Source organism: Homo sapiens, chromosome 6 (genome assembly GCF_000001405.40).
Source record: "Homo sapiens chromosome 6, GRCh38.p14 Primary Assembly".
NCBI lineage: Eukaryota > Metazoa > Chordata > Mammalia > Primates > Hominidae > Homo > Homo sapiens.
In genome coordinates this window covers 2,829,946-2,844,615 of record NC_000006.12, presented here as the reverse complement: position 1 = coordinate 2,844,615, position 14,670 = coordinate 2,829,946, and the positions used below count along the sequence as shown (strand labels likewise).

The 14,670-nt window shown below is 43.0% G+C and overlaps 1 protein-coding gene across 7 annotated transcripts, besides 1 other annotated feature; it reads left to right on the top strand.

Moving 5' to 3' along the window:
- On the top strand, window positions 2,753–12,284 carry SERPINB1 (serpin family B member 1). Of its 7 annotated transcripts, none has more exons than NR_073111.2 (8): window positions 2,753–2,804; window positions 4,022–4,197; window positions 5,150–5,281; window positions 5,930–6,067; window positions 6,617–6,734; window positions 8,366–8,508; window positions 8,593–8,760; window positions 10,604–12,284. NR_073111.2 is itself a non-coding variant. In XM_011514333.2 (8 exons), the coding sequence occupies exons 3-8, from the start codon at window positions 4,030–4,032 to the stop codon at window positions 11,006–11,008; spliced, it is 1,140 nt and encodes a 379-aa protein (XP_011512635.1). In that variant the 5' UTR covers window positions 2,753–2,804; window positions 3,141–3,400; window positions 4,022–4,029; the 3' UTR covers window positions 11,009–12,284. The 7 variants fall into 7 exon arrangements, 5 of the variants coding, with proteins under 5 accessions (XP_011512635.1, XP_047274225.1, NP_109591.1 ...); XM_011514333.2 differs by lacking the exon at window positions 5,150–5,281 and adding an exon at window positions 3,141–3,400; XM_047418269.1 differs by lacking the exon at window positions 5,150–5,281 and adding an exon at window positions 3,141–3,400 and having other exon boundaries at window positions 4,022–4,267.
- Window positions 2,809–2,858: a silencer, noted in NCBI's record as "silent region_16832". NCBI's record gives its function as "represses an Ori minimal core promoter by ATAC-STARR-seq in GM12878 lymphoblastoid cells {active_cell/tissue: GM12878}" and the evidence as "EXISTENCE:reporter gene assay evidence [ECO:0000049][PMID:35858748]".
- Window positions 12,285–14,670: the final 2,386 nt, after the last annotated feature.

Below are 14,670 nucleotides of genomic sequence, written 5' to 3'. Positions count from 1 at the left end.
TTATGGGCTGAATGTGTCTCCCCAAAATTCATATGTTGAAACTTTATCACCAATGTGATAGTATTAAGAGGTAGAGCCTTAAGAAGTGCTTAAGTCATGAGGGCAGAACCGTCATGGGTGGGATTTGGGCCCTTGAGGGAGTGCGTTCATCCCTTTCCATCCCTCCCACCGCCACGTGAAGATACAGTATATTTCCCCCTTGGATGCAGCAACAAGGTGCCATTTTGGAAGCAGAGAGCAGCCCACACCAGGCACCAAATATGTGGATGCCTTATTCTTGGACTTCCCAGCCTCCAGAACTGTGAGCAATACATTTCTGTTTTTAATAAATTGCCCAATCACAGGTATTTATAGCAGCACAAATGGACTATGACAGAAATTGATACTGAGAATGGGATGTTGCTATAACTAATACCTAAATATGTGGAAACAGCTTTGAAACTGAGTAATGGGTAGAGGCTGGAAGAATTTGGAGATGCATGCTGGAAAAAGCCTGTATAGACATAAACAGAGCTTTAAGGGAAATTAAGGGTGAGGGCTCAGAAGACAAGGAGAGCTGTAGGGAGAGCCTAAATCATCTTAGAGATTAATTAAGTGGTCTGGTCTTGATCAGAATGCGGTTAGAAGTATAGATGGTAAAGACACTTTTGATGAGATCTTAAAAGGAAACTGGAGGAAAGGTCATCCTTGTTACACAGTGGCAATGAACTTGGCTGAATTGTGTCTATGTCCTAGTGTTTTCTGAATGGCAGAACTTAAAGGCAATAAACTAGGATATTTGATGGAAGAAATCTCTGAGCAAAGCGTTGAGAGTGCAGCATGGCTTCTCTTGACTGCTTGTAGTAAAATGTGAGCAGAGAGAATGAATTAAAAACGAAGTTTATAATCAAGAGGGAAGCAGAGCTTAAAGTTTTGGAAAATTCTCAGCCTGGCCATGTAAAGAATGAAAAGGCATGTTTGGGAGGGAACACCAAGAGTGCTGCCAGGTTCACATTTGATAATGAGATGAGTATGTGTAGAAGGAAGCCAGATGCTATTTATCAAGACAATGGAAGAATGAACCCAAAGGCATTTCTGAGGTTACTGGTTCTGGATTCTCATCCCTGTCCCAGAGTGCCAGGACCCTGAGGGCAGAATAGTTTTAAGGGAGGACTCAGGACACCATGGAACCTTGGGGCTTGCTGCCTAGGGCTGCCTCAAGTCTCTGCCCCCCCACCCCCCACATTCTGGTGCAGCACTCTTTGGCCACCATCCCACGTGTGGCTTATGCAGGCCCTTGTCAGGCCACCCTTCCTGTAAGCCTTGGCAGAGTCCACGTGATGCTAACTCTGCAGGTGCACAGAGTGCATGAACTGTGGAGACACAGCCACCTCCACCTAGATTTTGAAGGATGTGTTGGGGACCCTGGGGGCCCAGTCTGAGAATTGTCACTGAGGTGAGGCTGCTGCAGAAAACCCTCACTAGGGCAATGTTTAGTGGAGCAGTGGGATTGGGGCCACTGCAGAGAGCCCCAAATAGAGTAATATCTAGTGGAGCTGTGGGAACAGGGCTGTCCCTGAGAACCCAGAACTGTCCAGCCACCAGCATGCAAGTCTATCCTGGGAGAGCCTAGACCTCAACCTGTGAGAGCTGCTGCATGGGTTGCACCTGGCAAATCCATGGGAGTGGATCCCCTGGACACTAGGGGACCCAGTCTCCACCCCCCTGTGCTCGGAATGGGGGACACAGCATCAAAGAAGATTATTCTGAAGCCCCAAGATTTAATGCTGTTTGCCTTGTTGGGTTTGGACTTACTTGGGACCAGATACTCCTTTCTTCTTGCCTGCTTCTCCCTTTGGGAATGGGAATGTACGTCCTATGCCTGTCTCATCACTGTATTTTGAAGGCCTGTAACCTATTTGATTTCACGGGCTCATAGCTGGAGGGGAATTTCACTTAGGATGAATTGTACTTTGAATCTTATGCCTTTCTAATTTAGAAGATATTTAGGTGAGACTTTGGACTTACATTTTAAAGTTGATACTGGAACTTTGGAGGCCACTGGGATACAATGCATGCATTTTGCATGTGAGAGGGGTATGAATTTGGAGGGCAGGGGCAGAATGCTATGCTTTGAATGTCTGTGTTCCCTGCAAAATTCATGCTGAAACAATCCTCAATGCAATACTAACAGGTGGTGCCTTTAGGAGGTGACTGGATTATGAGGGCACCTTCCTCATGAATGGGATTGGCCCCTTATACGAGAGACTTCACATGAGATTTGGCCCCTTTTGCCCTTCCACTTTCCACCATTGAGGACGCAGCAGCAAGCTGTCATCTTGGAAACAGAGAGCAGGTGTTTGGAACTGGTTCTGTTTCATCTGATTCTGGGGGCCCCTCTTTTTCCCTGTGCAAGATCCCCAAATTTGCTTCCTTCTCTCAAAGAAAGCTCCCAATATAGATGGGACTCAAAGGGAGTCATTTGCCCTCTAAGAGGTGTCACAATATGTCGTCTCAGTCATTCACACCTTAGTAAGAAAAAGCTTTTCAGGTCCTTGCCAGAGATTCGGGGAAAGGCTTTGAACTGAGAAAGAAGCCGCGCCCCTGAGGAGGGCGCTGCCCGGAAGCCACGCTCACTTCTGCTTGCACTTAGGCGACCTCGGGAGCTCGGACTCCTACGCAGTCACCGGGAAGGGCCGCCGCCCCGCCCGCGGCTGCTGGCCCGGGTGACGCTTCCGCCTGCTATAAGAGCAGCGGCCCTCGGTGCCTCCTTCCTGACCTCGCACCCAGCTCGGAGCCCGGAGCGTGCCTCGGCGGCCTGTCGGGTAAGGCCGGGCCTCGGAGCGGTGGCGCGGGGGCGGGCGCGGGGAGAGGCCAGGCTCCCTCGCTCAGCTTCCAGCCCGGCACCCCCCACCCCCCAGGCTCAGGCCCCTCAGACCCGCAGCTCCCTGCGCTCGCCCTCCCCGCCAGCTTCGCGCCCCCATCCCTTCCGGGCGCCCCGACGGAGACAGACGACCTCTGATCCCCCGCCCCCGCCTGGGTACAGGCCGGGCCAGCCCGCGAGGGAGGGAGGGAGGGAGGACGACAGATGCAGGCGGAAGGCAAGACTGAAACCTGAGATCAGAATGTTGTCCCTTCTCCCTGAATTCCCTTCCTCCCAGAGCTGTTTGTGACGGTTTCCAGGCAGCCCAGGGCCAGGCCGCGGCTCCTATCTGCAGCTGCAGGGAGAGAGAGGAGGAACCCCGTGCGATTCTAGAGACGATTTCACAACAAGGAGAAATCAGCTTTGTGCTTACATGCCGAGCAGCCAGCACGGTTCTTCTTTGCCTGTCCTCGGGGGAAATCAGGGCTCTGAGAGTGGAGATCGAGATGGGCTAGTGGGTGGCGGATGGGACGCTGCACGGCCAGACCCTGGACTGTGGTGGGTTTCCAAACTGGCACATCCTACACCGGCTCTGAGACTGTGGGCACTGGACCTCATACCTTTTGAACCTCAAAAATAAGGAAGAATTATATTATTATAATAATTACAGTGATACCTTTGCTGGAGTTTTAATGCATAGTAGGTAGCTGAGTCTCTGATAGAAGGCTCTTAGTTCAGGTGAAGGTAGGCAATGGATTCATTGCCCAATGAATCAGAGACTTGAATCAAAGGCTCAGAAGCACGTGCGCTCCCACACATAGGTTGGGAAGACCCAGGGCTGGGTGGGCCCTCCCACCCCACTAAAGCTGGGGTAGCTGGGGCCTGCCTTACCCCCGCCCCACCCCCAGACTCACCTGTCTGCAAGGTCAGAGCCCTTTAGGGCACCCTGGGTGCCCTAAAATCCCCTATAACTGCTGAGTCCTTGGCCAGAATGGTCCCACATTTGTGGGCCTGGGAAAGTGTTCTTGCCCTGCTGGAATAAAAAAGCGGGGAGAAAGTACAAGATCCAGGATGCCTCAGGGCGGTTGGCAGAAATTGAGGAAGCTTCTGGAGAAATAGTGCTGCCTAATCTGCTGGCGTGGGCAGTGGGCACCATGAGGACCCTGTTCTGTGTTGCAGTTTTCACCATGGAGCAGCTGAGCTCAGCAAACACCCGCTTCGCCTTGGACCTGTTCCTGGCGTTGAGTGAGAACAATCCGGCTGGAAACATCTTCATCTCTCCCTTCAGCATTTCATCTGCTATGGCCATGGTTTTTCTGGGGACCAGAGGTAACACGGCAGCACAGCTGTCCAAGGTCAGCAGAAACAAAAAAAAGGGTCTGCTTTCCTCCCATCTCCCTACGAATGGACAGTCTGCATGGAAAGGTTGTGCCTTTGAGCTCTTACCTTGTGTTTTCAGAACTGTATTTTTATGAGATCAGACTTTCAGAAAAGTCACACTTGTATGCAGGCTTCCATTCATCATCAGGTTTTTCCTAAGTACCTACCACGTACCAGGAACTGTTTTTCGTATTGCTGAGGAGACAGCAGTGAGCAAAGCTGACAAAAATCCCTGCAGGGCGAGGCTTCTGTTCCAGTGGATGAATCTGACAGCTTTCCTGAAAGGCATACTACATCCTCCTGAGCTAGCATCTTCCAGTTTTTGCTTTGCATATGATGATATGCAACTCATAAATATTGCCTGTTATATAACACTACTTTCAAGCATAATGAGAGGAATAAGACATAGGGAATGCATTATAGTGGAGATAGTGGCATTGCTTTTTTGCAAGGAAAAGAGAAAAAGTGACCCTGTGGTTCTGTAGTCCCAGGGTGCTGCGCATGGCTCAGTGGGCTGTGGCATAGCACGCCCTGCAGGGGAGGTGAGGGGGAGACCCGCAGCTTCAGGGGCGGGACCCAGCCCTTGGCGATGTGACAGGTCACTCTCATGCCCAGCCTTCCTTCTTGTCCATAATGGACATGGAGAGGACTTCTGTGCTTGGTACTCTTTAATTCTGAGAAGAGAACTCTAGCTCTCTCTCTCTAAGCTCAGCAGAAAGGAGTGGTAAAAGTGGAGGCTCTTCTAACATACCTGCCGCAAATTACACTGCACCTGTTCCTTGGCAAGGTGCAGCCTGGGATTCAAGTTCAAGGGGCTGCGAAACTTCTATTACTCATCACTTTAGATATGAAAGCATTTTAAATGTTTTTTTTAAATCCATTAAAAAAAAAAAACCTCTGTTACTAATTGTTAGTTGCTTCTTGCAGGGTTATATCAGTTCCTAGCTTGAGGTTTTCCAGGGACTTTAAAACCTCAGCAAAGAATAGTTTTAAGGACTCCTCCCCCATTTCCATTAAAGCAGATGGAGCATAGGCACAGTGCAAACATTCCATATCTCGGTGAGTAATGTGGACTTCGTACCCTATGCAATTTTGTTCTTTGTGTCTTAATCATAAAGGAACCAGCCTAGGTCTCATAAAACCACAAAGGGCCTCTTGATTTGTAACTGATACATGGGGAATTAAACTTTTGCCAGAATGTTAAGTTTAAGGAAGTTATTTTAAAATAAGTGAGTTACTGATGTTAATAGGGTAATAAAATTTTAAAAGCTTCAGTCTGTACTATCTTTGTGGTTCTGAATAGAGGATGAATCCTATTTTTACTGCTTATTTCTGAGAACTTTCAGTAAAATTATATTTGATACAGAATATAAATATGAACATACCATTTATTATTTTCTTTGGAAAAGGCAGACTTATATATAAATATTTAGTATCTTAACCACCCACATTTGTGGAACTGCAAGTGTAACAAAGAGTGATGTAAAAGCAATGTGTAAAGTTGTAAACATTCTGTCTCACGAAGCCATAAATTTTGGATTTCCTATTGTTTGTTCTGCAATGACAAATTAATAAAGTATTGGGTTTGGGATCATCAATAATTAGTAATAAAAACACATTAATTTAATGTGATAGAAGGAAACACCAAGGAATCACTTTATAGTTTCAAAATAAATGGTTGTAGAAAGAAGATTTTCTTTATTTTAGACTTTCCATTTCAACACGGTTGAAGAGGTTCATTCAAGATTCCAGAGTCTGAATGCTGATATCAACAAACGTGGAGCGTCTTATATTCTGAAACTTGCTAATAGATTATATGGAGAGAAAACTTACAATTTCCTTCCTGTAAGTACTTTGCCCTTCACATTCTAAAACCCCACTAGACAGTGCAGATATTTTCCAGCACAATCAAGTCATGGAGGTCAGTTTTAATATTTGTAAACTTTCAGAAAAACAATACAGAAGGCAAACATGGCAAAAACAATATGGAAGGCAAACACGACAGAATGCAAACTTTAATTGACATGGTGATTTTGTGTTACAGTCTTTTTAGTGAAAAGATAGCTCTTGGAGGTTTTACTGAAGCAAGAGTACAATCAGTGTTTGTGAAATCTTAGTCAAAGTTCAGAAAAGAGTGGTAATTTCTATATAACAACAACAGTATAAGGGTTAGGCTTACCACTACTGGAATGCACAGTTAAAAGTGGCTAAGATCGTAAATTTAATGTTAAATGATTTTTACTACTATAAGAAAAACTATAAGAGTTAGAAATTTTGTGTTACATGGAATTGTAGCCTTTTAGGACAATTTCTGTTGCTTTTTGGGATTTTAGAAAACAATTTCTATATGTAGTAGGAGTTATATATATATTTCCTTTTCCTTTTTTTTAATAGGAGTTCTTGGTTTCGACTCAGAAAACATATGGTGCTGACCTGGCCAGTGTGGATTTTCAGCATGCCTCTGAAGATGCAAGGAAGACCATAAACCAGTGGGTCAAAGGACAGACAGAAGGTGAGAGCCTGGGCAGAATGGAATCATTATGCGCTGGTCATGTCATTCGTTTCCTCAGTCCGCCTTCCCTACCTGCAGTTATTCCCTCCCCAGCTCCCACAGTCCTGGCGCACATCGTGGTTACAGTCAGAGGACGCTGCCGGTGCGTGAAGTCTGCACTGCACGTTGCTGGACAGCTCTCACATGTTCGAAGTTCACCAGAGTGGAAACTTAAACATGATTTAACTCAAGCAGCTAAATCCTTTTTTCTCATCAGCTCCCCAAAACTTTTAAAGTTGCATTTCAAAGTTAAAACCAACATTGGCAGGCGCGGTGGCTCATGCCTGTAATCCCAGCACTTTGGGAGCCCAAGGCGGGCGGATCATTTGAGGTCAGGAGTTCAAGACCAGCTTGGCCAACATGATGAAACCCTGTCTCTACTAAAAATACAAAAAATTTAGCCAGGTGTGGTAGCACACACCTGTAATCCCAGCTACTCTGGAGGCTGAGGCAGGAGAATCTCTCGAACACAGGAGGTAAAGGTTACAGTGAGCCGAGATCATGCCACTGTACTCCAGCCTAGGCAACAGAGCGAGACTCCGTCGTAAAAAAAATAATAAAAATAATAAAAAATAAAAAATAAAGTTAAAACCAACACTGAATACAGCAAAAAAGGAATTAAAATTTTGAGGAGAATTCAGCCTGCCAAAAATTACCTAATACTCATATGGAAAGAAATGTCCTGGAATTTCATGGAAATACCTGAAATCAATATTCACAAACTACTGTGGTTGTAAATTTTTTGCCAACATCTTGTCCAGTAAAAAAGTTGTGGTAGGTGGGGACTGACTTGCTTTTAGGGTGCAATTTATTTCTTTGCTACATCTCTCTTCTTACATAGCCCTGTATTAGTCAACCCACTCCAGAAGACCTGTCTTCCATTATGGGAATTGTTCCCAGCCATACTTATGGTCACGAAGGTGACCTTTATTTCCATGGAGTATGTTCTGCTGGTTTTTTTGTTTGTTTGTTTGTTTTTTGTTTTTAAGAGACAGAGTCTTGCTCTGTCGCCCAGGCTTGAGTGCAGTGGTGCGATCGTGGCTCACTGCAGCCTTGACCTCCTGGGCTCAAGGAATCTTCTCATCTCCACCTCCCAAAGCACTGGGACTGCAGGTGTGCGCCACCATGCTTGGTCTTGTTCTGCCTTTTGGATATTGTTTAAACCTTTTTTTGTGAGAGTAGGCATCTACTCAGCGATTTGAAGAAGTGATTTACTGATGACTAAAGATATCTTCATTAAGAATTTTTTTTTTCTAAAAAAGAATGGTTGTTACAAAATAAGGCTCATTGTTTATCATACAGTCCAGAAAAGGAGAATTTTCCTGTCTTTTGTCTTTCGGCACATTTGACTTGTTTAAAATGTCAGGTCCTTGTGGGAAGTTTGTGTGTCATCCTGGTCTGTCTGCCCCACAGGTTGTTATACTTAAAGTAGAGACATGTTAGTGAGTAGGGCTTTCCTAAGTTAATATCTTGTTAAATGAAAATTAAGTAGAAATTATATATTTGAATTGCATTTCCGTGCTAATATATTGTCAGTTCAAATTTGGAATTCCGATTTGGATTTTTTTTACGCTAACTTGATTTTTTTTTAGGAAAAATTCCGGAACTGTTGGCTTCGGGCATGGTTGATAACATGACCAAACTTGTGCTAGTAAATGCCATCTATTTCAAGGGAAACTGGAAGGATAAATTCATGAAAGAAGCCACGACGAATGCACCATTCAGATTGAATAAGGTGAGGTGAGGTAACTGTACAGAGTCATGCATTGCTCTAAAAGAATGCAGAGAATAATTTCAGTGATTTTTTAAAACTGTTCAGAAAGACAGAAAAACTGTGAAAATGATGTATCAGAAGAAAAAATTTGCATATGGCTACATCGAGGACCTTAAGTGCCGTGTGCTGGAACTGCCTTACCAAGGCGAGGAGCTCAGCATGGTCATCCTGCTGCCGGATGACATTGAGGACGAGTCCACGGGCCTGAAGAAGGTATGGCTCCTGGGCTTCATGCTTTGTGGTTCCTCTTGCATGTGTGTGTCGCATGGTAGGTAGGTGCTTGTTAAGTGTTCACTGATGGTGCATTTTCCAGTAGTTTGTCATTCCTTTGTAAATGTAGCCCATCAACACTTACTACACTAAAGCCCAGAGTTAATTTTTTTTTAAATTTACTTATAGAGACAAGGTCTCACTATGTTGTTTAGGCTGGTCTTGACCTCCTGGCTTCCAGCAATCCTCCTGCCTCAGCCTTCTGAGTAGCTGGGACTATAGCTGTGAGCCACTGTGCCCGGCTAACGTTTCATTTTTCAAGAAAGATGGCCAGCTACTTTCAGTGGACACTTGTGATGGGGTCATTAAAGATCTATACTAAATATAATACTGGTTAGTGGCAGCTCATGGAAAGGCTCTTGAATTAGCTTTAGAGGAAATTACAGTAAGATGAGGATTGTTTTACTGAGGAAAAAGATTGAAAAGCCCCAAATAGTGTAGCATATATCTTCATCACGTACTATAAAATTCTATTATTACACTGTTTGTTCTCATCACAATTCATATAGATAGTGAATTAAATTTTCAATGGGTACAAGACAGAAAAAGCCTCATGTGACATGTTAGGCCTATTTACTAGTATGATCTTTGCATGAGGTTTCCATTATATGTAGGGACTCTAGCCTGCTCTGTGCTCTCCGTCTCCTCCCTATCCACCTATTCATCATCCTTGCTATCAGGAAGGGGGTCTAATGTTAATCATTTGCATGTACAGACTTTTAATACATTGTATAACAATCAATGTGGCCTTTCTTTTGGTTGTATTTTTGCATTAGTTTTTTTTCTGATTGTAAAGTGAAAATCTCTAGCCTCTTAAAAGGAATTATCAGCACCATTAGAAGAAGTAGAGTGATGGTTCTATTCCAGTCCAATAGCTATAACAATAGTAATGATAATAGCTGACATTTATGTAGCACTATGGGCCAAGCACTTTATATACATCATTTCATTTAATGCTCTCAACAATCTATAAGGTAGATATAAGTAATGTCCACATCACATTTCAGATGAGGAACTAGCTCCAGTGCATAATCTGCCTTTAAAATTTTTACCTAGGAGCTAAAGTTATTAGATATTACTTCAGCTTCAGTGGGATTCAGACTAAATAGAAGAAATATTTTAAATTTCTTCTAGCACTACTCAACCTGGAAGTAATAGCAGCTGTCATGACCTATCACTGTAATCCATTGTGGTAGGGGTTTAGTAAACCCTGGATGAATGGATGGATGGATGAATGGGTAGATGGATGGGTGGATGGGTGGATGAGTAAATGGGTGGATGGATGATAGATAGGTGGATAGATTGTTGGATGGGTGGGTGGGTGGATAGGTGAATGGATGGATGGATGGGTGGATGGGTAGATGGATGATGAATAGGTGGATAGATGGTTGGATGGGTGGGTGGGTAGATAGGTGAATAAATGGATGGATGGATGGGTGGCTGTGTTGCTGGGTAGCTGGGTGGATGGATGGATGGATGGATGGATGGATGGATGGATGGATGAGTGGACAAATGGGTGGATGGATGGGTGGATGGGTGGGTGAGTGGATGATGGACCCAATGTACAAATCCCTTGAACCTTTGATGACTTGGAACACCACCTCTGCCCTATTTCACCAATTGCCATAATGAAATAAAATGCTCCAAATGGAATCTGTTTTGGCACAAAACATGAAGGAAACTAACTAGCAACTGATATTATGGGTCCATTGATTCAATAATACTTTATTGCCTTACTTATGTAAAATTGATATCACTTCCTCTTTCGCCTCATTTTTAATTGCAGATTGAGGAACAGTTGACTTTGGAAAAGTTGCATGAGTGGACTAAACCTGAGAATCTCGATTTCATTGAAGTTAATGTCAGCTTGCCCAGGTTCAAACTGGAAGAGAGTTACACTCTCAACTCCGACCTCGCCCGCCTAGGTGTGCAGGATCTCTTTAACAGTAGCAAGGCTGATCTGTCTGGCATGTCAGGAGCCAGAGATATTTTTATATCAAAAATTGTCCACAAGTCATTTGTGGAAGTGAATGAAGAGGGAACAGAGGCGGCAGCTGCCACAGCAGGCATCGCAACTTTCTGCATGTTGATGCCCGAAGAAAATTTCACTGCCGACCATCCATTCCTTTTCTTTATTCGGCATAATTCCTCAGGTAGCATCCTATTCTTGGGGAGATTTTCTTCCCCTTAGAAGAAAGAGACTGTAGCAATACAAAAATCAAGCTTAGTGCTTTATTACCTGAGTTTTTAATAGAGCCAATATGTCTTATATCTTTACCAATAAAACCACTGTTCAGAAACAAGTCTTTCATTTTCTTTGTAAGTTTGGCTCTGTTGGCTGTTTACACCCATGAATTTTGGCATGGGTATCTATTTTTCTTTTTTACATTGAAAAAAATCCAGTGGTTGCTTTTGAATGCATCAAGTAAAGAAGAAGAAAAGAATACATCCGATGCGTAGATTCTTGACCATGTAGTAATCTATAAAATTGCTATATCCTCCTGATAGCCATGGGAAAACATGATAAGATGGTCATTTATTTTGCAGTTAGAATTTTGGAAGCCACAAAATAGACAGACACCCTGACTGTTGAAGGGAGGTTTAAAAACAGATATTCAATTGAAATGTAAGAGAGCACCCCAATTGAGAGCCCAGGTTACGAAGACAAGCTTGCCTCGCCTGACTTTTCTGTCCCTTGTTCTGCAGGATTAGTATTCTGTTACAGACCTCTAGTTTTTAGACTCTTCAATTAAAGGGCCAATGGTTATAACCTGCATTCCCTTTTTTGTTCTTCTTTATGTATAATATATAGTTCATGTGGCGCTGCATGAAATCAAGAAGTGGGTGTCTTAGGATAAAAGATACCAAGAGTCTACAAAAATAACCATGTAGTAAGATAAACTGCTGAACAAAGGTTTTACTGTTAGCCACCTTCTCATGTGTTTTCTTTTCTCTTTTTCTTTTTCTTTCTTTCTTTCTTTTTTTTTTTTTTGAGACAGAGTCTTGCTCTGTTACCCAGGCTGGAGTGCAGTGGCACGATCTCAGCTCACCGCAACCTCTGCCTCCTGGGTTCAAGTGATTCTCTTGCTTCAGCCTCCTGAGTAGCTGGGATTATAGGCATGCACCACTAGGCCTGGCTAATTTTTGTATTTTTAGTAGAGATGGGGTTTTTCCATGTTGGCCAGGCTGGTCCCGAACTCCTGACCTCAGGTGATCCGCGCACCTCAGCCTCCCAAAGTGCTGGGATTACAGGCATGAGCTACCATGCCTGGCCTTCTCATGTGTTTTCTGATTAAGGCTCTTGACTTCCAAGGCTGTGTGGGGAGATGGGGTGGGGGCTCTTGGACTGATATAAAACTTTGTCAAATGTAGTTCTTTGAATGGAGCTTGAAACGCCGCATATTCTTGCTCCCACAAGGATAGTGGGCATCATGAATTAATAAAACGTCCTAGGATTCTGCAAGCTAGACTGGTCTCAGGCCTCTTCTTATTGCCCCCTATCCCTAGACAAGTTAAGACTGCAAGTGGGGATTATTGGCCTTACAACATTGTTGGTAGAGAGGAATTCCACATGTTAACAACAAAATTTTAGCAACTCTTTTGCCAACAAACTTTCTTTTCTCCCGCTTTCTTAAAATACTTACCATATTCCAGGTTTTCTCACTCTCAGGAAAAACTCTGCCTTCTGTAAGTCTTCTCTTTTGGTTCCTCATCCTAAAATCCACTCTGATTTGGAGTAAATCATGTTAATTGTGTAGAAACTGAATTGTAGGGGCCCAAGTGAGCCCGCTCAAATTATATATGAGGGAACAGGCCTATAGACTATAAGTAAATTGTTGAAGGTCAAAACAATTGGTGAGTTCCAGGGCAGAGACTAGAATCCAATGCGTATTTTATGTGGAGAGCATCTAATTTATGTAATGGTGAAATAGTTACCTCAGGCCTCTGAAGTCAGTTAAAAATCAAACAAATAAAACGAGCATCAGCCCAAAGGCAAGGGAGGGCTAATCTGAACATAAAGAATTATTGGGCCAAGATCCAGAACAAATTGGAAATTCAGAAAAGTGAATCTGGAAATTGGGGCCACTTCTGCCCCAGGGCCATCTGCCAGTCCAGAAGAGGGGAATGAGAAGTGGTAGACAGAGTTTGAGCCTGTCAAGAGTGGGGGCGCCATGATACTGCCTCTGCTTTTGTTTGGCATCCTAAGAGCTATGCCCTATGAGTATGACAGAGTCAGCTCAGAATGCAGCCCTGCTATAAGTCATTGGACAGCCCAGAACTTTCCAATCCCTAGAAGTAGATTATTTTCATCCTGGTTTGCTGCTACCCAGGGGCACATTGCAGAAGCAAACAAAAATCATATTTTGGGGAAAATTACCCGTAAACCTCAAATCATGTTTATCATCAGCTTTTATAATATGATATCCGGCACATAATCAAAGGTAATTGGACAGTTGAGGAGCCGTGACAATGTAAACTAAAACCAGCACAAAAGATAGACAATAGAAACACCAGTACAGGGGCTCCAAATATTAGAATTGTCACACACAAACTAGAAAAGAGCACTGTTTTCTATGATCAAGATGATTAAAGACAAGGTTTAACATTTCAGCAGATAATTGGAAACTTAAAAGAGACACTGCATATTTGAATCAAAATAAGACAGAAATTCCAGCGCTCAAAAATACAATAATAAATGAACTCAGTAGATAAGATTTAACAAAAAATTAGATGGCTAAAGAGAGAATTTGTGAATTTTAAAGTTCAAAGAAATTATTCATAGTTTCTCCCAGGAAGACTAATATGATAAAAGGCAAAAGAATGGAAAATGCAAAAGGGACAATAAGAGACTCAAGGTAGTCAATAAGAAGATGCTTAATGGGAGAAGAGAAATTATAGAGAAGAATCATATTATATTTATTTACTTATTATTAATTATTAATTTTTAGAGACAGGATCTCACTTTGTTTCTCGGGCTGGGGTGCAGTGGCACAATCCTGGCTCACTGCAACCTTGAACTCCTGGGCTCAAGTGATCCTCTCACTTCAGCCTCCCAAGTAGCTGGGACCACAGGAGTGTGTCACCACACCTGACTAATTTTTAATTTATTTTTTCCAGTGACAGGATCTCGCCATCTTGCTCAGGCTGGTGTCTAATCCTGGCCTCAAGTGATCCTCCCACTTTGGCCACCCAAAGTGCTGGGATTACAGGCATGAGCCACCACACCTGGCATCAGAATCATATTTTAAAATCTAACATTCAAATGTTTATACTAAAACAGATAAAGAATGTCAATTCACAGAGTTTGGAAACGCTACTCAAACCCCAAGTAGGAAAATACAAAGAAATCCATCTCCAGACATATCCTAGTTAAACTGCACTCATCCAAAGACTAAGGGAAAAATCATAAAATGAAAGCAACCGAAGAAAAGGCCAAAGTACCTTTAAAGAGGCAGCGATTACAATGTCAACACATATGTCAACAGAAATAATAAAAGCCAGAAAACCATAGGATGATTCTCTCAATATGTTGGAAAAAACAAAATCTAAATACCTGGCCAACCTAGAATTATTGTATGCCCAGGAAGAACATCCTTCAAGATATTTTCAGACAAAAACTGAGAAAGTTCACCATCAGCAGACTTCCCCTGAGAAAAAGTGTAAAGGAGATTCTTTATGCACAGGAAATGTCAGAGTTGTAACAACAACAAAAAAAGAGCAAGAAAAATTGGTAAATATAATAAGTTTAAATGAATATTGACCATATAAAACAGAAATGATGTCTACAAAGTTTCAAATATATCCAGAATTAAAATAAATGATAGCAGAAGTTGGGGAGGGAAATGGAGTCAA